Raw genomic sequence first — 22,690 nt, forward strand, 5'->3', positions numbered from 1 at the left:
CTTTGATCCTCCCAGTGATTCTGAAGCAGGGCAAGTGAACCCTAAAGTAGGACTTAGCCTAGGAGGGTTCTTGCCTCTCCCCAGGAAATAATTCAAGGGCAAGCCAGAGGTAGCAGAAAACAACTTTATTGAAGCAGCAGCGTTACAACTCCCGTGGTGTTACAGCTCCATGACTGCTCCTGCAGAGCAGGGCTACCCCATAGGTAAGAGTGGCAGCTCAGGGCACTTTTGCAGTTATATTTATATCTACTTTAATTACATGCAGATTAAGGGGCAGTTTATGCAGAAATTTCTAGGAGAGTTAACTTTTGGATCCTCAGGTCATTGTCACGGAAAGGGGTGGTAACGCCCAGTTGTTGCCATGGCAATGGTCAACTGACATGGCACACTGGTGGGTGTATCTTATGGAAAGCTGCTTCTGCCTCCTCTGCTAGTCCTCAATTTGGGCTGGTGTCCAAAGCCAAACTCCGGAGTTAAGTCCTGCCTCCTCCCTTCTACAAAGAAGGTGCTGTTATTATCTGAGTTCCAAAAGGAGAAAACTGGATCTTAAAAAGATTGAACAATTTCTTCACTATTACAGTTAAAAACTGCTGAAGCGCCCTTGTTAGGATTCAGTATATCTGACTCCATTTTCTTAACCACTAATAATATTAATTCGTAGAGAGGTTAACTATAAAGTTTCTCAAAATTACATTAACAAGTTCAACATTGTAATGTGGAAAATATATTTTTCCTTTTTTTTTTCTCTGTATTGCTGGTCACTGGTGTTGGAACTTGGTTACTCCAAAGTTGGCAGGGGTTTCTGTTTGAGACAGGAGAATAAAGAAGTTAAAGACTGACAATGAGGGCCAGGCACGGTGGCTCATGCCTGTAATCCCAGCACTTTGGGAGACCAAGGTGGGCGTATCATGAGGTCAGGAGTTCAAGACCAGCCTGATGAACATGGTGAAACCCTGTCTCTACTAAAAATACAAAAATTAGCTGGGCTTGGTGGCTCACACCTGTAGTCCCAGCTACTCAGGAGGCTGAGGCAGGAGAATTGACTGAACCTGGGAGGCAGAGGTTGCAGTGAGCCAAGATCATGCCACTGCACTCCAGCCTGGGTGACAGAGCAAGACTCCGTCTCAAAAAAAACAAAAAAAAACAAAAAACAAACAAACAAAAAACACACAAAAAAATACTGACAATGTACAGATACAGAGCTTTACTGATTTAAACCCCCAAAGTCATTTCCAAGTCCTGGTCGTCATTTGCTTGTTTTAATCGCAAGAATTTTTGTCTCTGTTTTTCCCCCAATATACCTCTTGCAGTTTAGAAGTAAGATTATTCTCCTTTCCTAATCCACTGTAGAATAGCCACATGCCTATAGATTTTTTCAATCTATCTTTTTTTTTCCTCCTCAAGGACATCGGAAATTTTCATAGGCCTTAGCAGCAATAGGGAAGAGTGAGTGAATTTTAAAGGTGAAAAGATCCTCCCAAAAGGAGACTGGCAGTAATGCTGGCCTCTGGCATTTTTTGGAATATAAATGGAGTTAAGCTATGCTTCCCTATATGCTCATGGTTAATACTGAGTATTCTCAAGTGTGTACTTTCCAAAAGTACCAATGATTTAGAACTTTCATACTTGAGTAAAATAAACTATAAAATGTCTTCTAATGATAAATATTTGCCTGGCACACAAAAGAACATTAATTAACAAATCTTCATACTGTTTACTCCCTGAACACCTATGATAGGTGTTATATTGAGCATCCGTCACAGTCCTAAATGTCAAAAGCCCTCATAAAACTTGGTGAAATTGCCCTCGCCTAACTGCTTTAGTGTATGTATTATTATTTTTGACATAGATATAATTTCAAAATGCTCTTTCTATTTTTGACAGTGAGAAAATAATTATTGTTTTCACTGTATAAAGTACGAGTTATTTTTTGATTGTAGGACTTCTACACGCTTTTCACCTTTTTTAGACTTAAAGCATGTATATAGTGTGACCAATTAAATAAGATCAATAAGTAGAAAATCAAGAGTCATTTTTTATTTGTCAAACTGTTTGGATTTTCATTATTAGAAAATGAAACAAACTAATCTGGAAACTATCCAGTAATCATTGATGTGAAAATAATCTGAAATTAAATTGCATCTCTCTTTATTCATATATGATGATTATTACAGGATTATAGTTTTTAAACATGAAAGTTGCATCCACCTTTCTCCTACCACTCTAGGCTGAGAACCTTGGGGTTATCTTCAATTTTGAATTATATATTACTTCTGAAAATCTTAACATCAATAATTTCCCATGTGTATTCTTTTCCATTACTACAAACTTGATCCTAATTCTGGTCCTAAATGATTCATAGATAGAGAAGTGAGTTTGTTACCAACATGCCTACTGTCTTTTCCACTTTAGTTTACCCAGAAAATATCTTTCTTCACGTTTCCTATTATTAACATCTTAACAAACTTTGTAACTCTTATCTTTTCCTCGATCATCTTTTTATTGTATATAATCCTGTATTTATGGTTATTGGTGTTGTAAGAACACTTAATATGATATCTAACTCCTTAACACATTTTTGTGTACAATATGATATTGATAACTTTAGGTACAATGTTATATGGTAGTCCTCTAGAATTTAATTATCTTGCATAACTGAAGCTTTTTACTCATTTAATAGCAAATCCCTATTCCAAGTCCCCCAGCCCCTGGTGACAACCATTCTATTTTTTGCTTCTGTGTGATTGAATATTTGTTTTATATAAATGGAATTCAGTAGCATTTGTCCTGTGACTAGCATATTTCTGTTGGCATAATATTTTCTATGTTGTCACATGCAGCAGGATTTCCTTCTTTCTTAAAAGTAGATTATATTTCATTTTTTATCTGTTGATTAATCCAGGGACATTAAAGTAGTTTCCATATCTTGGCTATTGTGAATAGTCAAGTGACTAGTTCACTGCACTGAACGTGGAAATGTAAATATCTTTTTGAAATCCTGATTTCAATCCTTTCATATTAATACCCAGAAGGAGAATTGCTGGATCATATGGTATTTCTATTTGTAATTTATTGAGAAAACTCCCCATCACTTTCCATAGCAGCTATACCATTTTAAATTCCCATCAACAGTGTACAAAGTTTTCAGTTTCTCTACCAATATTTGTTATAGTTTGTCTCGCTTTGTTTTCAACAGCCATCCTAACAGGTATGAGATAATATATCATTGTAATTTTGATTTATATTTCCATGACGATGAGTGATGTTGAGGATTTTTTCATATTCCTGTTGGCCATTTGTATGTGTTCTTTGGATAAATGTCTATTCAAGTTATTTGCTCATTTTTAAGTTGTTTTTGCTTTTGAGTTGAAAGAATCCCTTATATATTTTGTAATATTAAAACTTATCAGACATATCTTTTGAAAATATGTTCTTCCACTCCAAAGATTGCCTTTTTATTCTGTTGATTTTTTTCTTTTGCTGTGCAGAATTTTTTTAGTTTGATGTAGTTCCATCTGTCCCTATATATTTTTGGTTTTGTTGCCTGTGCTTTTACTGTCATATACAGGAAATCATTGTCAAGATCAATGTCGTGAAGGTTTCCCCCTGTTTTCTTTTCTTATTTTTTGAAAGAGAGTCTTGCTCTGTCACCCAGCTTGGAGTACAGTCGTGTGATCACAGCTCACCACAGCCACGACCTCTCTGGGTTCAAGCGATCCTTCCACCTCAATCTTCCGAATAGTTAGGACCACAGGCGTACACCAACACACCCAGCTGTTTTTTTTTCTTTCAATAGAGACAAGGTTTCCCTATGTTGCCCAGGCTTTTCTCAAACTCTTGGGCTCAAGTGATCCTCCCACCTCTGCCTCCCAGTGTGCTGGGATCACAGGCATGAGCCACTGTCCTTGACTCCCCTGTTTACTTGTAGAAGTTTTATAGTTTTAGGTCACAGGTTTAAGACATTTCTTCATTTTCAGTTAACGTTTGTTTATGGTGTAAAATAAGGGTCCAATTTCATTCATTCCAATGTGGATATCCACGTGTCCGAACACCGTTTATGCAAAAAACTAACTTTTCTTCATTATGTATTTTTGGCACCCTTATGTATCAGTTGACTATATATGGGTGAGTTTACTCTGGGCTTTGTATTCTGTTCCATCAGTCTATCTGTCTGTCTTTATGCTTGGACGTATATTTTAAATACTTCACCTTTGCAGTACATTTTGAAAACACAGTGTGATGCCTCCATGTTTGTTGTTCTTTCTCAAGATTATTTTGACTATTCTATTAAAGGCTCTTTGTGGTTCCATATAAATTTATGGATTAATTTTATTGGGATTTTGATTGAGATTGCATCGAGTCTGTAGATTGCTTTGGGTAGTATGGACATTTAAACAACATTAAGTATTCTAATCCATGTACTTTTCTTTCCATTTGTTTACATCTTTCTATGTTCCTTTCATCAATGTTTTACAGTTTTCAGTATATAAGTTTTTCACTTTCCTAGTTAATTTTATTCCTGAGAAATTTATTATTTTTGAGGCTACTGTAAATGACACTGTCTTCTTAACTATCTTTTTGAATAGCTCGTTGTTAGTACACAGAACCACATCTGATTTTTTAATGTTAATTTTGTGTCCTGCAACTTTGCTGTTTTCATTTATTAGTTCTGATACTATTTTGGTAGAATCTTTAGAATTTCTACATATAAAGTCATGTCACCTGCAAACAGAGATAATATTACCTCTTTTTTATTTGGATGCCCTTTATGTCTTTATCTTGCCTAACTGCTCTGGCTAGTAGATAGAAGTAGCAATAGTGGACATACTTGCCTTGTTCCTAATCTTAGAGGAAAAACTTTAAGTCTTTCACCCTTGTACATGATATTAGCTGTGTGGGATTTTCATATATGGCCTTCATTATGTTAAGAAAATTTCTTTCTATTTCTAATTTGTTAAGAGTTTTTAAATAATAAAAGTTGTTGAACTTTGTCAAATGCTTTTTCTGCACCTATTGAGATTATCATGTGGTTTTGATCTTTCATACTGTTAATGTGGTATAATTGATTTTAGTTGATTTTCCTGTTGAACCATCTGTTATGAACTACATATTTGAAGTAACCCAGCCTACGATATTCTGTTATAGCAGTCCAAACTAAGTAAGAGACCATCTTTGTATCTCAAGGATAAATTCTACTTGGTCACACTTTATAATCCTTTTGTTGTTTTGTTGAACTTGGTTTGCTGGTATTTTGTTGAGAAATGTTGCATCTATATTTATCAAAGGTATTGGCCAGTAGTTTCCTTTTCTTGTAGTGTTTTTATCTGGCTTTGATATCAGGGTAATTCTGGCTTCATCAAAGGAGTTTGGGAGTGTTCACTTCTCTTTAACCTTTTGGAGGTGATTGAGAAATACTGGTATTATTCCTTCTTTAAATGTTTACAAGAATTTACCAATGGATTCATCTGGTCCTGAGCTTTCCTTTCTTGGGAGGATTTTCATTACTGTTACAATGTTCTTAAGAATTATAGGTTTGTTCTAATTTTCTGTTTCTTAATGATTCAGTCTTGGTAGGTTGAATGTGTTGGGAATTAAAAACAATACCCCAAAGTGAAAGCCTAAGAAGCATCCTTAAAAATAAAGTCTCTCTCGACCTTATCCTGCTCTCTAGCCTCCTAACCCTCATTCTTCCCTGAGGCAAGTCATAGAAACTAGAATTCCTCTTCTCCAAGGCAGGATGTAGAAATAATAACTCCTTTTCCCCAAAGCAAACCATAAGCCTAAAATTATTACTCAAACCTTCTTCCGCTTTTCCTTGTAACAGCTGACTATAAAGAAATTAAGGCCCTTATTCCAGAAGTGTCCTATCCCGTATCCATAACAAAGAAATGCTACAACAGAGAGGCTAAGAAGAATCTGAACAGACAGGCTGTTTTTCCCTGCTCCTTTTCCCTGCTCTTTTTCCCTGCTCCTTTTGCAGTTTAGCCTTGAACAATGTGTGGGTCAGGGTTGCTGACCCACCATGCAAATATTTGCATATAGCTATTGAGTGCCCCCAAATTTAACTATTAGCCTACTGTTGACAAGAAGCCTTACCAATAACATAAATTGTTGATTAACACATATTTTTTATATGTTTTATGTACTGTATTCTTACCATAAAGTAAGCTAGAGAAAAGAAAATATTATTAAGTAAACCATAAGGAAGAGAAAATATACTTACTGTAAATTAAGTGGAAGTGGATCATCATAAAGGTATTCAGTTTCATCATTTTCATACTGGGTAGGTTGAGAAGATGGAGAAAAGGGAGGGGCTGATCTTGCTACTCAGGGTGGCAGAGACAGAAGTGAAGGAGGTGAAATGAGAGGCATAAGAGGCAGACACACTCTGTGTAACTTTTATTGACAAAATCTTCATATAAGTGGACCCATGCAAACCAAACTAGTGTTTTGTGGAAGGTGAATTGTATTACTGTTAGATCATAGCTTTTTTTATATAGTCACAGTCTACATGTCTGTCCCTACTTTATTGAACCTAACCATAAAATCAGATACTTTCCCCTGTATCTTTGGGTCTTCCTTCTGAAGGCTCCTGTGTCACATAAAACTATGATCAAATAAATTTGTTATGCTTTTCTCTTATTAACCTGTCTTTTGTTATAGTCAACTCTGACCCTTATGATGGAGAAGAAATGAATCACTCCTTTTCTTCTTCTACATCTGTGTCTAGGAATTTGCCCCTTGCTTCTAAGTTATTCAATTTTTTGGCTTATAATTATCCGTAGTAGTATCTTATGATCCTTTTAAGTGTCTTTCGTGTCTTTTGTTTTTCTCTTTTGCTGTCTTCCTTTGCTTTTCATTGATTTTTTTTTGTTTGTATTGATGTGCTTTGATTACTTCCTTTTTCTCATTTTGTATCTTCTGTAGTCATTTGCATTCTAGTTACCATGGGACTTACATAAAACAACTTGTAGTTATAAGAGTCTATTTTAAGTTGATAACAACTTAACTTGAATTGCACCAGCTTAATTTCAATGGCATACTAAAACTATTCTTTTACTTCTCCCTCTCCACACACACTTTTATTGATGTCATAACTTACATATTTGTATATTGTTACATTATAATTTTACAGTTTTAGTTATTTTTAATACTTTTTAAAATGTTTATGCTATAATTAAACATAATTTACCCAACATTTACAGGATTACAATATTCTATACTTGTCTATATTTTACCTTCACCAGTGATTTTTATATTTTCATGTGCTTTCATATTGCTGTTCAGGATATTTTTATTTCAACTTGAAGAACTTCCTTTAGCATTTCTGGTAAGGCAGATCTAGTAGTGATAAACTACCCCTTGTATTTGTCTGGGAAAGTCCTTAACTCTTCTTCATTTCTGAAGGATAGCCTTGTCGGGTGTAGCATGCTTGGTTGTCAGTTTTTGTTTTCCTTTCAGTACTTTGACTATATCATTTATCATTCTACTTTCTTTTTCTTTTTTTTTTTTTTTTGTCTTTTTGAGATAAGGGTCTCACTCTGTGGTCCAGGCTGGAGTGCAGTGGCATGATCTTGGCTTACTGCAGCCTCAATCTCCTGGGTTAACAGTCCTCCCACTCAGCCTCCTGAGTAGCTAGGACTACAGGCTTGTGCCACCACACTCAGTTAATGTTGTATTTTTTGTTGAAACAGGGTTTCTTCATGTTGCCCGGGGTTGTCTCAAACTACTGAGCTCGAGCAATCTGCCTACCTTGGCTGCCTGAAGTGCTGGGATTACAGACTTGAGCCACCATGCCTGGCCCATTCACCTTCCTTCTGATCTGCAATATTTCTGCTGAGAAATTCACTTTATAAAATAGATAGACTTATATGGTGTGACTGTCTGCATGACAAGTCACTTTAGTCTTTATGCTTTCAAAATACTCTTTTTGTCTTTGACTTTGAAAATTTGATTGTGTCTCAGTGTGGATTTCTTTGTGATCATCGTATTTGTGTACTCTTGGGATTCATGGATCAGATGTCCATTTCCTTTCCAAGATTAGAAATTGTTCAGCCAATATTTCTTTGAATAAGTTTTTCTTGCTTCTTTTTCGCTTCTTCTTCTGGGATACCCATAATGCATATAGTAATCCATCTTATACTGTCACATAAGCCTCTTAATCTTCCTTTACTCTTTTTTGTTATTTTTCTTTTAGCTCCTCTGACTGAATAATTTCCAGTTTCCTGTCTTAAAGTTCACTAATTCTTTTTCTGCTTTATATAATCTTCTGTTGAACCCTTCTAGTGAATTTTTCTGTTTAATTATTGTATTTTTAAGATTCTTAATTTCTCTTTGGTACAATTTCATATTTTCTCTTTGCTGAAATTTTCGCTTATTTTATACATTGTGCTCCTGACACTGTTGAGTACTTTATAATGGTAATTCTTAATTCTCTGTCAAGTAAATCATATGTCTCCATTTCATTAGGGTGGTTTTCTGGAGATTTATTTATCATCTTAATAATGGAATTACCAAGAAAGACACAACACAGATAATCTCTGGATGGAACAAGCTTTACTCACATAGAGAAGAAACAGAGCAAGATCAGCTTTAGTAGTGGTCCTTGGTCTCCCCTGGCCATCAGATTCTTCCTGGAAGCTGATGCACAATAATTGGTCTGTACACACACCCCTTGTGATGCAGCAGAAAGACCCCATCCCCTCATGCAGGGGATAAATATAGCAGTGGATTTGGCCAGGTGCCATATGACACACATGTTTAAGCAGAAGAAAGACAAACATGGGTTGGAACAGTAAAAGTTATTTCCACACAATGCAATAAGCCCAACACAAATTGTGAAGACTATCTTTTGGTACAAAAGTTTTCCAGGCCTGAGGAAATATCTTCAAAATATTTTGATTTATTTTTTCTTTTTTAGAGACAATGTCCTCTTCTGTCACCCAACTGGAGTGCAGTGGTGTGGTCATAGCTCGCTGTAAACTTAGGTGAGAGCCACTGCACCCAGCTTCTTGATAGTATTTTAAATGCGATTGCCTTCAATCTATAGATGAAGATGGGAAAAGTTCACATATTAACAATAATGAATCTTAAATTCATGAACATGCAATATTCTCCACTAATTTTTAGCTTTTTACATTTCTTCTACTTTTTATAGTTTTCCATATACCTGCTCTGTACATATTTAATCAGATTTATACCATTTTGTTGCTTTTGGTACTATTGTAAGTGGTAGTTTTTTAAAAATATAAAATGCCAATTGCTCATTTCTGACATATAGGAAAGCAATTGAATTTTTCATATTGATCTTGTATCCTATGACTGGAATACTTGTTTATTAATTATGGGAAGTTTTGTTTGTTTGGCTATATTCTCTGGAGTTTTCTATAATCATATCGTCTCTGAATAAAGGTAGTTTTATTTCTTTCACTGTAATAATTACAAATTTTATTTTTCTATGGCATTATTGCACTATCTGGGGTTTTATAATATTGAGTAGGAATGATAAGAGACAGTACCCTTGCCTGGTTGCTGATCATAGAAGGAAAATGCCCAATCTCATCCTACAATTATGATTTTAGAATAAGGTTTTTTTGTAGGTTTATTTTTAAATCATGTTGAGGAAGCTCCTAGTTTTCTGAGAGTTTTTATCATTTGTGGGTCTTGGATTTTTGGATTATGTTTAATGTATTTTCTGCATTTGCTGATATGATAGTATGATTTTTTACTATTAGCTTTCTGATATGGAAGATTATACAGATTGAGTTTTAAATTTTAAACTAGCTTTGCATTGTTGAAATAATTCCCAACTGATTTTAATGCTTAATTATTTTCATACATTTCTGGATTAATTTACTATTTTTTTAGGATTCCTGCATCTATGTTCATGAGAGATGTCATTTTGTAGTTTTCTATTTTTTCAATGCTTTTATCTGTTTAAGTATTGGGGTAATACTGACCTTATAGACTGAGATAAAAATGTTACCTCTGCTTTTCTTTTCTGGAAGAGATTCTGGAGAACTGGTATTTTTCTTTAAATGTTTGGTAGAATTTGTCAATGCATACCTCTGGGCCTAGTAGTTGTTTTTTTTTTTTTTTTTTTTTTTTTTTTTGTTCGTTTAGAGGATTTGTAATGTAATTTCTTCAACAGAAATAGGCTACTCAGGTAATCAGCTTCTCCTTGTGTGAGCTTTGCTAGGTGAAAATTTGGGATGTTTTTCTAAGTTTTCAAATTTGTGGGCATAAAATTGTTTTTACTATTTTCTTATACTTTCAATGGCCATGTTATCAATAGTAATGATTCTTCTTCCTTGCATTTGTAATATTGATCAGTCATCTGCACTTGCCTTCTCTGTCTCTGTCTCTCACATACACATTTTTGGTTAACCTGGCTAGTAATATATCAATTTTGTTGCTCTCTTCAAGGATCAATTTTGATTCATTTATTTTTCATTTATTTTCTTTTGTTTTCCTGATTTCTCTTCTATTTTTATCTTTTCCATTCTTGAAGCTTAATTTGCTCATCTTTCTCTAGTTTCCAAAGAACTAATTTATTAACTTTCAGAAATTCTTCTTTTCTAATACACACATTTATTGCCGTAATATTCTCTTTAAACATTTCTTTGGCTGCATCCCACAAATTGTGATAAGTTGTATTTCCATTTTCATTTAGTTTAATATATAATTTAAAACTCTTGACAGACTTATTCTTTAATATACATATTATTTATAAATATGTTGTTTAATTTGCAAATATTTGATGGTGTTTTAGTTTATATTTCTGGTAGTGAGTTCTAATTTAATTCACTTGTGTTCTGAGTACACAAACTGTATGATATCTGTTTTTTTAATTGTTGATTAGTGTTTCATGGCTTAGTGGTGCTTCATGTGAGCTGCAGAAAAATGTGTATTCTTCTGTTGTTGGATGAAATATTTTTCAATTTGATCAAGTGAATTAATAATTTTATTTATGTCATTTATATCCTTACGGATTTCTGCGTTCATGACCTGTTGATTACTGATAGAAGGAAGTTGAAGTTTCCAATGAAATAATGCACTACTTTTGCTTTTTACAAAAATTAGTGTTATCATGATGCAGCTTTCTCCATTACTTTATTTATTTAATTTTATTTATTTATTTATTTATTTATTTATTTATTTATTTATTTATTTTTTGAGACAGAGTCTTGCTCTGTTGCCCAGGCTGGAGTGCAGTGGTGCGATGATCTCCGCTCGCTGCAAGCTCCGCCTGCCGGGTTCATGCCATTCTCCTGCCTCAGCCTCCAGAGTAGCTGGGACTACAAGCCCAGGCCACCACGCCCGGCTAATTTTTTGTATTTTTAGTAGAGATGGGGTTTCACCGTGTTAGCCAGGATGGTCTCTCCATTACTTTATTTTAATCTGAGTCTTTACATTTAAAGTTGGTTTCTAACAAATGCATAGTTTGGTCTTTTTTGTTTCTGCCACTCTCAAAATCTCTGTCTTTTAATTAGTTTGTTAAAATAATTTACATTTAAAGTGAGTAATGTTATATTTGTATTCATATCTATCATTTTTGTAACTTTTTTATATTTTTTCCATTTTTTAATTTTTTTCTTTTTGTGAACCTGTCTTTTGACTGAGCAATTTATGTTATTCAATTTAATTTCTTCTTGTAGCATATCACCTTTTAATCCTTCTTAAATGATTGTCCTGTTGTTTAAAATATTCGCTTTTACTAATCTTAGTCCACTTCCAATTAACACTGTACTGCTTCATGTTTAGTGCAGGTTTCTGACCAAAGAGTATTCCTAATTTTTCCCTTTTGCTATATTGCTGTCATATCCTTTTACTTATCGGCACGATATAATGGTCCAATACAATGCTACTATTTTGCTGTAAACAAACAGTTTTCTTTTAGATCAGTAATGAGTAAGACAAATAGATTATTTAATCTTGCCTTTATTGGCTCCTTCTACGACACTGTTTCTTTATGGTAGATCCATGTTTCTGGGCTTCATCTTTTCCCTTCCGCCTTCTTTTAATATTTCATGCAGGGCAGGTTTGTGGGCGATGAATGTGCTCACTCTCTGTTTGTCTGAGAAAGTCTTTATTTCTCCTTCACTTTTGAAGTGTAATTTTCTGAGGCTGTGCACGGTGTCTCACACCTGTAATCCCAGCACTTTGAGAGGCCGAGGCAGGTGGATCACTTGAGGTCAGGAGTTCAAGACCAGCCTGGCCAACATGGTGAAACCCAGTCTCTACTAAAAATACAAAAATTAGTCAGGCATGGTGGCAGGCACCTGTGGTCCCAGATGCTCAGGAAACTGAGGTGGGAGAATCGCTTGAGCCTGAAAGGCGGAGGTTGTAGTGAGCCAAGTTTGTACACTCCAGCCTGGGCAGCAGAGCAAGACTCCATCTTAAATAAAAAATAAAATAAAATAGTGTAATTTTTCTAGATAGAGAATTCTAGGATGCTCTTTTTGTTCTTTGAACACTAAATAATTGGCTCCACTCTTCTTGTTTGCATGCTTTGTGAAAAAGTCTATTCTTATTCCTGTTTCTCAATAGGTAAAATTGCTGTCATCTTTTCTCAATTGCCCTACCCATCCCCAGTTTCTTTCAAGACTTTCTCTTTGTCTTTGATTTTCTGCATTTCAATATCATATATGTAGGTGCATATTTTGCCAAGACATGGCTAGTATTCTGTTATTTATCCTGCTTTAGTAGTGTTTAAATTTCCCTAATCTGTGGTTTGGTTTCTGTCATTATATTTGGAAAATTATCTGCAACTGTAACTTCAAATATATATATAATTTAACTTATATATATATATAAATAAATATATATATATAATTTCCCTTCTTCTCTATCAGGCATACCTTATACCTTTTTAATTTTGCTTATACCTTTTTAATTGCCCTTTAGGTGTTGGATATTCTGGGCATTCCTTTTTCCTCACTGTACTTCAGGTTTGGAAGTTGTCACTGACTAATCTTCAAGTTCACAGCTTTCCTTTTCTTTTTTAGGTGAGGGGGCGAGTGGTGGGCTTTGTCCATTGTGTCCAGTCTACTGATGGGTCCGTCAAAGACATGCCTCATTTTTGTTTTGATGTTTTTCATTTACGGTATTTCGTTTTGTTTCTTTCTTAGAGTTTCAGTCTCTCTGCTTATGCTACCCATCTGTTCTTACATGTCAACTTTTTTCATTAGAACCTTTAACCTTTAGAAGTGTTCCTCCTGTGGTACAGCCTCTCACTTGCTTCCTAGGGTATGTCATTCCCAATATATGTGCTTGAAGTTCTGATCCCTGTTGACTACTCTTTTTCTTCCCAGGTGGGGCATCAAGGCTGAAGGGGCCCAATGTGAGAAAAAATTACATTCCACTCACTGGGATAAGATTTTGACAAAATCCTTTCTCTTGGAGCATGGGCCTTTGTTACATGAGTACCTGGGGGGGATCCTGGAGGTAAATCTCACAGAAGTGTGGGGCCTCCTTAAGACTGGGCTCCCAGGAGTTTTTGACTCTATGCTAGTCCATACTCAGCCCCTGCCAACTTATCAAAATGCCAATTAAGCAATTATACCAGTTCATGGCTTCAGCAGCTTTTGCTCCATATAAGCATGTCTTAGTGTTATCTCTCTGAACACCTGTCCCTTCTAATTTTGAGTGGTGGCCTTCCTTGTCACTTGAGTTTCCTGATAGCTCTAAGAAAAGTTGTAGATATTTCTGATTATTCATTTTTTTTTCTTATTGTAAGGATAGAAGTGACCACTTCCCACTTCCAAGCTGTTTACATGTGGGAAATGAAATTAGAAGTCTCTGTTAATAGTTTTAATTACTTTAACACTGTAAAGCATGTGTATTTTAATTATTCCTTTATAATAAACAACTTGCTATAGCACCATAACACTGTAATAGGCAATACATTTTCCCCAGGTAATTCATTCATAAATCATTCCCTCATAGTTTAGGCATAATCTCCTATGCTTGCTCCTGGTAATTTCCCAGTACTTTTGTCATAAACTAATACTGAGAAGTAGACTTAAAAGAAAATATTAATGTATCATATATTGTATCATATAGTACATGACCAATGTGGAATATGAGAAATTCTAGGCTATCTTATTTTGCAAAATTATCAGCACATTAGATACATACATGTCTACCTATTTATGTATATATACACACATATATAATGTATGCATATGTATATACATATGCATGTGTATACATATATGTGATACACAATTATATAGTTATTATTTTGTCTTGTGTGATCATGCAATACTGTGAGGTGAATTCCCTTTGTGATCTGCCTCCTAAACTTTCTAGATGCTTTATGCAAAGCTTGATTCTTGGAAAACCCACTGTTAATACATTTTGAAGTCTACGTCTGTTCAATTATCTTAATTTACCTTTCAGACCTTGGAATAAGCTGTATTTCTCTACAAAGGGCTATGAACTTTTCTTTTTCTGCCTTTCATGAAGCTACCAGCTAGCTGTAATTTGCTGCCTGTTTATTCTACTTTCCAGCATAAATACATAAAATGTTATGATTGCTCCAGTGTCATGGGATTACTGGAAATTAACTCTGCAACCGATGAAAGCTACCTCGTTTCAATGTTTATTCTTTTAATTCCCTCTCCTCTTTTTTTGTTCAGTGTTGTTTTTCATCATTATTTCCAAATTCGGGTATCTGCTGCTGTCTTACAATATTTACTTATAGAATAATACCATCAAAGTTACATTATTCTTTAATATTCCATAATAACAGCACATATGAAAAAGACATAAAGCATTGAAGAAAGAGAGGATGATTAAAAAATAGAAAAAATGGTAAATTTAGTTTTATAAATCTGGTATTAAAGTACCATATAAAAATAAAAAAAATTTTATTACTTGGAGTATTTATAATACACACACACAGATATAGCTTTTGTTAAATGCAGCATTTTCTCATGTTCCACTCTTTGGTCCTATCCACTTCCATATCTAGTACTCCTTCATATGAATCATCTCATGGTGATGTCACCATGATTCACAATTTTAAATGCCACTTAGGAGACATTGTCCCAAGACTATAAACCCAGAAAACAGTTCACAATATAATTTGAGTTCCAGACATTCTAACCAAGTGCCTAATTGACATTTTTATGTGGATACTTCACAAGTATTTTGAACAGTGTTAAAACATGAATGCATCACCCTTCTTCAAACAAGTCAAATGTCTATCTATCTATCCATCTATCCATCTATCTATCTATGCTCTGTAATTGTAATTGTGGGAATTGTAATTTGTGGGAATTATAATTTGTGGGACTTGTAAACACAAAGAAAAAAATACAAGTAAATCCCACAAATTCTAATGTTTGATGTTACGATGCATGGTGTCATCATTCATTCAACTGCATAAGCCAGAAATCTGTTATTCTTAACTCCTCTCACTACCCAAACCTTTATATTTGAAAAGTTATTATGTTTTAAATACTTGATTTCTAAATAAACCTTAAATCTTCATTCATCTCCACTATCTGTCCCTAGATCATGCTTCCATCATATCTTGTCTAAAGAATCTTCAATAGTTACTCCTTGTTCTTCATCTAAATTCAAAACTTGTAGTTTGGACATGAAGAGCCTAAAGTATTTAGATATCGTTAAATTTATTGACACTCATGTTACATTATTTTACCTTTTGTTTTCTTTCTTTTGGATCAAATTGTCCTTGTTTCATTTCAGTAATGAATATGTTACCTTCTGGGTTGAGTCTTCCCCAGAAACTCTTTCCTCATATTACAATATTCTTTCTCTTTGTTAATTATTTCATCGTAAAATATTTACAGTTTACCTAACATAACTCTTTCTTAAAAGCTTTCAAATGATATTTGTCTTGATCTAGTTCTCTCTTATATGCCAAAATAGCACCTTGTTAGTACTTACCACAATTTTTGTTTCATATTTGCTTGTATACATAGTTATTTATCACCTGGATCCTTTATTAAAATTTCTTTCCAAGAGAGTAAGAATTATGTATTTATTTTTTATTCACTTAATCTTAGTAAGTAGCATAGTCTTGGTTCATAGTAGATTGTTAATATTTGTTGAACAAGTGACAATGATTTTAAGAAAAACATATGCTTTACATTTCAATCCACAATTTCTGACACAGGTTGAAATGTCTTAGAGTCTAGCTAGGGTTGTAGTAATGGGATACAGGAAGATGAAACTTTAAGTAGTTTAGAATAGCTGTGCAGGGTTTGCAATATAACAATGTTAATAAACAGAGTAAGTTCCACTTACATGCCAAAGTCATTTTAACCAGTATTAAAAAGTATAGTTAAGATACATTTATGTTAACACAGGAACATATATACCAAGACAAAGAACTTTATAAATACACTATATACCAATTATACCATAGTGTAATTCAACGTACCATTTTTATGTAGAATGCTATATTTACATATTTATAAGATATAAATAAATCATACATTAATAAAACTTATGTATATGTATATTCATATGATATAAATCATATAACTAATATATATTTTATATTTATGTGTAAATTTATATTTACTAAATTTATATTACTATACTTTAGTAGAATTAGAATTAATATAAATATGGTATATAGTATAGAATGATTTGTTATATAAAGTAATATGTGCATTTATGTGGAATATATATGGTACATTGATATTTTACTTTTTCTTTATTTCCATCGGAACATTTATCCTTTCCTTGGGCATCTTCATGAGATCTCTAAAAAATTACTTCTTTTCTCTCCTTCCTTTATTTCCATTACCAACTTTTTAAAAAGATCATTAAAAAAATTATTAAAAGTCACTCTGTCGTCTTATATTACATTGTAATTTAACAAGAAAGAGAAAGCCTATTTAACTAACACTTTAATGTTTCTCAAATGTATATATCCACTTAATTCTGTTTTTAAACTCAAAAATCAGAAATCTACATATATAAGATACACCTGATTTTTAGCAGACACCACTTTGAGAAACACTGCTTCAAATTTATTAAATCCTCAGGAATAAAAGTAACTTTCTCAAGAATAATCAGTAGAGAATATCAAGGATTTTATCTCCTGAGTTTTGAATTAGGTTACTACTGAACTTTCATAAATGTTTGATTTCAGACCTCATTTTCTGGACTTATATTTTTACTAGAAAATTAAATGGCACTGAACTTTCATTTGAACCAAAAACTAATCTTTAGTTTCTTCTCACTGAAAGGAGAAGAAGTTAAGTAATATCATACCTTTTCATGCTTTCCTTTGATTATAATTAAACTACTTTCTTTGTGTATCTTTGTGAGACTTTTAAGAGATTATTTCTGTTTTCTAGTTTTCTCATTTAAAATATAAAGTTTAAATAAATCACAAGATTTTTAGAAATTATTGTGGGATTATATACTAAATTTCAACAAGGCAAATAAGAGGAAACCTATATGAGTATAATCTGACATTCACTAATTTTAAATAACTGAGGAGAATGTAATCTGAATTAGTTACACCAATCTTAAGTCATAGTCTTTCTTTTAAAAAACATTTTAATTCATATTAACTGCAATTAGTAATGGATGATTTCACAACAAATTACAAATAAAGGTACCATTCAGTGTGCTTTAGTAAATGAGTATTTTAAAATGTCAACCTTAATTTAGATTCGATAAAACCGTTACATTTTTATTTAAATTAGTTGAAATTAGTTGGCTTTCTTAGGCCTAATCGCTCTTTCTCACAAAATTATTTTCCTTTATAAACACAGTGGTAGATTAAAGATACCACAAATTCTTTGTGAATCTTTCCATGGAGGAATGCTCAGTGTCATGGTACATTCTGCAGGAGTTGAGCCTACTTGTGAGAAGTACAGCTACATCAAGATAAGGTGCTGCTATAACAAATACCGAAAAATATGGAAGTGGCATTGTAACAGGTAAGTGGGAGTAGGCAGGGAGAATTTGGAAAAGCCTATCAGTAGAAGTTTAGATTGCCTTGAACAGAATGCAAGAAGAAAAATGGATGGTGAAGTTCTTGCTAGTGAGGGCTCTGATGGAAGTCAGATATTTATTATTGAAAATTGTCACAAAAGGAATCTTTGTTATATGGTTTCAGAATGCTTCGAAAAAAAATTGTGCCCTATAGTGCTTTCAAAAACAACATTTATAAGAAATGGACATAGATATTTAGCTCAGAAGATTTTCAAAATTATGAAAATGTTATTCATAGTAAAGTGGGAAAGAATAGAGACTAATGGAGGGAAAACTGTTAAACAAAAAGGAAGCAGAACTTGATAATTTGAGAAATTTTCAGTCTATCCATATGGCAAAAAAGACTAAAATTAAGAGACTGCTTCAGAAAGTGTGACATAGAGAAAAACCTGAGTATGTGGCAATGCAATATTTTTTTAACCAGCAGAAACATCAATATAGGTCAGAGTACTCTTCACGCAAAATGCTCTTTGAAAACATTAAGTGTAGTGACCCACAGATCCTCTCAATGAAACCAGAGGCTCTCTAGGTATTTTAAGGGTATATCACTCTTTTCATCAGAAGTCAAGAGTAAAGAAGGGATTATCTAAGAAAGGTCTGTGGAGGAGTCTTTTTCTAATACAGTTATCCCTTGTTGAGTCTATGCAAAACTCACAAGTTTCTTGATATTTTTATATCAGCAGAAAGATTGCTAGCTTAGACTTTAAAGGACAAGCCAAATATTAAGTGAAGATTTCTGGGCCACCAAATTTCGACTGACAAGAAGCAGTCTGATATAACTAGCAAGCTGCAAACATGTGCCTATGTTCATGAAAAAGGGAGCATGACTCAGGGTTGAGTTGAGAACTCAGAAGACTGAACTTAGAGCCATGTGGGTGGAACGAAAGCCAAGGAGGTCCATTTTCTTGCCTAGATACTTAGTGAAGTTTGTATGGCTACATTTCAAAATAGTTTTGGATCAGTGACCCCTTTTTCCTTGCATTTCTCCTCCTTTTGAACCAGAGTATCTACCATTGTTATGTTTTTTCTGTCTCACCATTATATGTTAGGAGTCTTGTGAGCAGATAATCTGTTTCCCTAGGTTCAAAGGCCTACAGATGGTGAGAAATGGCTAACTACAATTACTTTTGCACCAACCTAAGATTTTGAACTTTGAGCTAATGCTATAATGTGGCTTTTTGGGACCTTGGAAAGTAATATGGTTTGGCTGTGTCCCCACCCAAATCTCATCTTGAATTTTTAGTTCCCATAATCCCCACGTGTAGTGGGAGGGACCTGGTGGGTAGTGATTGGATTGGATCATGGGAGCAGTTTCCCCCATGCTGTTCTCATAATGGTGAGGGAGTTCTCACGAGATCTGATGGTTTTATAAGCATCTGGCATTTCCCCTGCTTTCACTTCTCTCTGCTGCTACCTTGTGAAGAAGGTGCCCTGCTTCCCCTTTGCCTTCCACCATGATTGTAAGTTTCTTGAGGCCCTCCCAGCCATGTGAAACTCTGAGTCAATTAAACCTCTTTCCTTTATAAATTACCCAGTCTCAGGTATTTCCTCATAGCAGTGTGAAAATAAACTAATACAGGAAGGGATAAATATATCTTTTATTTGAGAGAGATGTGGATCATGGGGGTCAGGGAGTAGAGTTCAGTAGTGAGGATTTTGGCCCCATGAACTTTGCACACTGGTATCATGTTAATGAATATGTTATGTTACATGCCAAAAAGGACTTTTCAGATGTAATTAAGGTTACTATGTTCTTTTCCTAGCTTCCTATAACAAATGACTACAAACCTAGTTGCCATAAAAAATTATCATAAATTTTGTGGCTTAAAACGATAGAAATGTATTCTCCCAGTCCTGGAGACTAGCTGTTTGAAGTCAATGTTTTGGTAGGATCATAGGGCCTTTGAAGGTTCTAGGAAAAATCCACTTTTCTTTTTTTTTTCCTAGATTCTGGTTGCTGGCAATCCTTCGTTTTCTTTGGCTTGCAACTGCAACTCTTCATCTCTGCCTTGGTTGTCACATGGCCTTCTCCATTCTGTGTCTGTCTGTGTCTGTGTGTCCTCTACCCTTCTCCTAAAAACAACAGTTATATTGACTTTAGGGTATGCCCTAATTCCATGTAACCTCATCTTAACTTTACTAATTATGTCTGCAAAGGTTGTGTTTCTCTCTGCTCTGGTTGCTATAACAAAATACCATAGACTGGGTGACTTTAACAAAAAACATTTATTTCTCATAGTCTGGAGGCTGGAAGTCCAAGATCACGGTGCCTACAGATTTGATTATTGGTTTGGGCTCATTTCCTAGCTGCTTTCTTGTTTTATCCTCCCAAGGCAAGAGACAGAGCTCTGATCTCTTCCTCCTCTTAAAAGGAGGGCTCACCCTCGTGGCTGCATCTCAGCCCAGTTACATCCCAAGGACCCTGCCCCAAAATACCATTACATTAGGCATTAAGGCTTCAATGCATGCATTTTGTGGGGAAAAAAAATCCTGTCCATAACAGGACTTATTTCCAAATAAGATTACATTCTGTGGTTCTGGGCGGACATTAATATTGAAAAGGCATTATTTAAAGCAGTACAGTTACTAATAAATTGATCTTAAAATAGGGAGATTTCCTAGATTACCTGCATGAGGGGAGGGTTCCAGGTCATATCATAAACCCCTGATAGCAGAGAAAAGCAGAGCTTTCACCCAGTCGAGGGTAGAGGAGCAAGTCAGAGAGATTTAGCATGAGAGAATGCTATGGAGATTTTAAATGCCTTTGCTGGCCTAGGGACACATGCAAGACATGAGAAGGAAGTAAATTATTTTGAAAAGCTGAATAAAAATGGCAGTAAATTCTCCCCTAAATCGTCCAAATAAGAGCTCAGTCCAACTGACACCTTGATATTGGCCTTGTAAGACCATAAGTATATTACTGATTAAGCCTCCCTGGAAGTTTGACTTATACCACAGTAATATAATAAATATTTCTGTGTTACACTGTTAAATGTATGATTACTTGTTATGGCAGCAATGAAAAATTAATACACTCTTCTTCACAGAAGTATTATTTTATAAACAATGCAGTAAATAGAAGAGGATCACGCATTCTGTATAATCTTCCCATTGAGAAACTCTCAACGGAATGCTTATTTTGAGAGAAATACCCTTCATGCTGGAAATCTACATTGAGACGACCACACCATAAAAAAACAAAGTGACACGGAGAGACCTGGAGAATGAGACACCAGGCAAAAAGAGAGGCCAGAGAGTCTTAAAGAATCAAAAATATGAAAGACAGAGCTATCTTGGAAGTAGAGACTTCATCCTTAGCTACGTCAGTAGATGCCTGGTAGGTCAGTCAGAAACCATGTAGATGAGCCTTTCTATGAAATGCCAAGCAAAATCATGGGTTGATTTAAGCCCTAAGTTTTGGGTAGTTTGTTATGCAGCAATAGATAACAGAAACAACCCCTCCTTTCTCAGGCAACTAACAGTTATCTGAAGCTATACTCATGATCTGATTTACACTTTTACATGACATAATTCATCTGTACTTTGTTCTTCTTTCTCAGAGATCTATTTTATGATTGTTCAAGGTTACTTAAGTCACCTTCCACTTATACAAATATCTTTGGGACATAAAGTTGGGAGATAATTTTTTATAATTTTAGCCATTTTGCAAATCTTCTGGGAAAAAGGGTATTACAAGAATTATTGCATAACAGAAAGCTTTAAAAGTTATAAATAGTGTCTCCCTAAAGATAGACACCTGAGAATATGATAAGCCATAGAGCCCTACTTTTCTCTCCTTGGAAATATTTGCTTACATTCCAGGGTAATAAGGGTACTGACAGTTTTCTCTTCCCTAGAGGAGATTTGCTGAATAAGCATTTCTCTTTCTCTGGAGAGGAGGATGGGCAGAAGTGCTAGTTGCCTTATATAAACTGGGTCTGCTGACTTCAGAGTTCCTCTCCTGTGGCAATACCCACTGCATATTCAGGGAAATATCTGGCCCTCACCACATTACCCAATTAGTATGGTGGTTTAGGAAATCAAAACTAAGGTATTGCTCTGACTACTGCATTTTGCTCTGAGTAATAAAATTCCTGTCTGTCTGATTCAGGAAGAATCATTTCTTCTGTTAAAATATGTGTGTGTGTGTGTGTGTGTGTGTGTGCGCGCGCATGTATGTGAAATGTGCAAGCTAACTTGTTAGATTGCACCTTGTACCTTTCACAGTCTCTGATTTAATGCCAAGGTAGCCCACCCTACCATAATTGACTAAGTCAGTATAATTCTAACTACCCACATACATTCTGATCTTTGTTAAATAAGTTTTTCTTACAACATAGTATATCTTAAATAGGAAAAATAAATAGCATGCAAAAATGTTCACCTTCTATAATACTTTTCAATTATAAAGCCACAATTCTAATCTATATTTTGTAGTCCCTTAGCCATACCTGTCTGTTGAATGCGATCTTACATTACATATCTTCTCATCTTCCATGTCAGACATCACATAGATATTTTTCATTTCTTAATATATAGCATTGTCCAATACCTACTCACAACCCAAGTTCTTGTATAAACTAATATCACTTTGAAATGCTCCTCTTTCTCCTTCTCTTAATTTACTCCATTTTAACTCCTTAGAATTTTTTAAAAGTAGGTGGAGCAAGATGACTGAATAAAAGCCTCCATGGTTTGTCCT

The 22,690-nt window shown here is 34.4% G+C and overlaps 1 long non-coding RNA gene across 2 annotated transcripts; it reads left to right on the plus strand.

Annotated features, from left to right (window-relative positions):
• Positions 1-382: 382 nt before the first annotated feature.
• On the plus strand, positions 383-21,982 carry LOC105372045 (uncharacterized). 2 transcript variants are annotated; one of them, XR_935329.4, is made up of 3 exons: positions 383-505; positions 17,766-17,933; positions 19,936-20,981. It is a non-coding gene; the product is annotated as an uncharacterized LOC105372045 (long non-coding RNA). The 2 variants fall into 2 exon arrangements; XR_935330.2 differs by lacking the exon at positions 19,936-20,981 and adding an exon at positions 21,036-21,982 and having other exon boundaries at positions 395-505.
• Positions 21,983-22,690: the final 708 nt, after the last annotated feature.

Source organism: Homo sapiens, chromosome 18, assembly GCF_000001405.40.
Source record: "Homo sapiens chromosome 18, GRCh38.p14 Primary Assembly".
Lineage (NCBI taxonomy): Eukaryota > Metazoa > Chordata > Mammalia > Primates > Hominidae > Homo > Homo sapiens.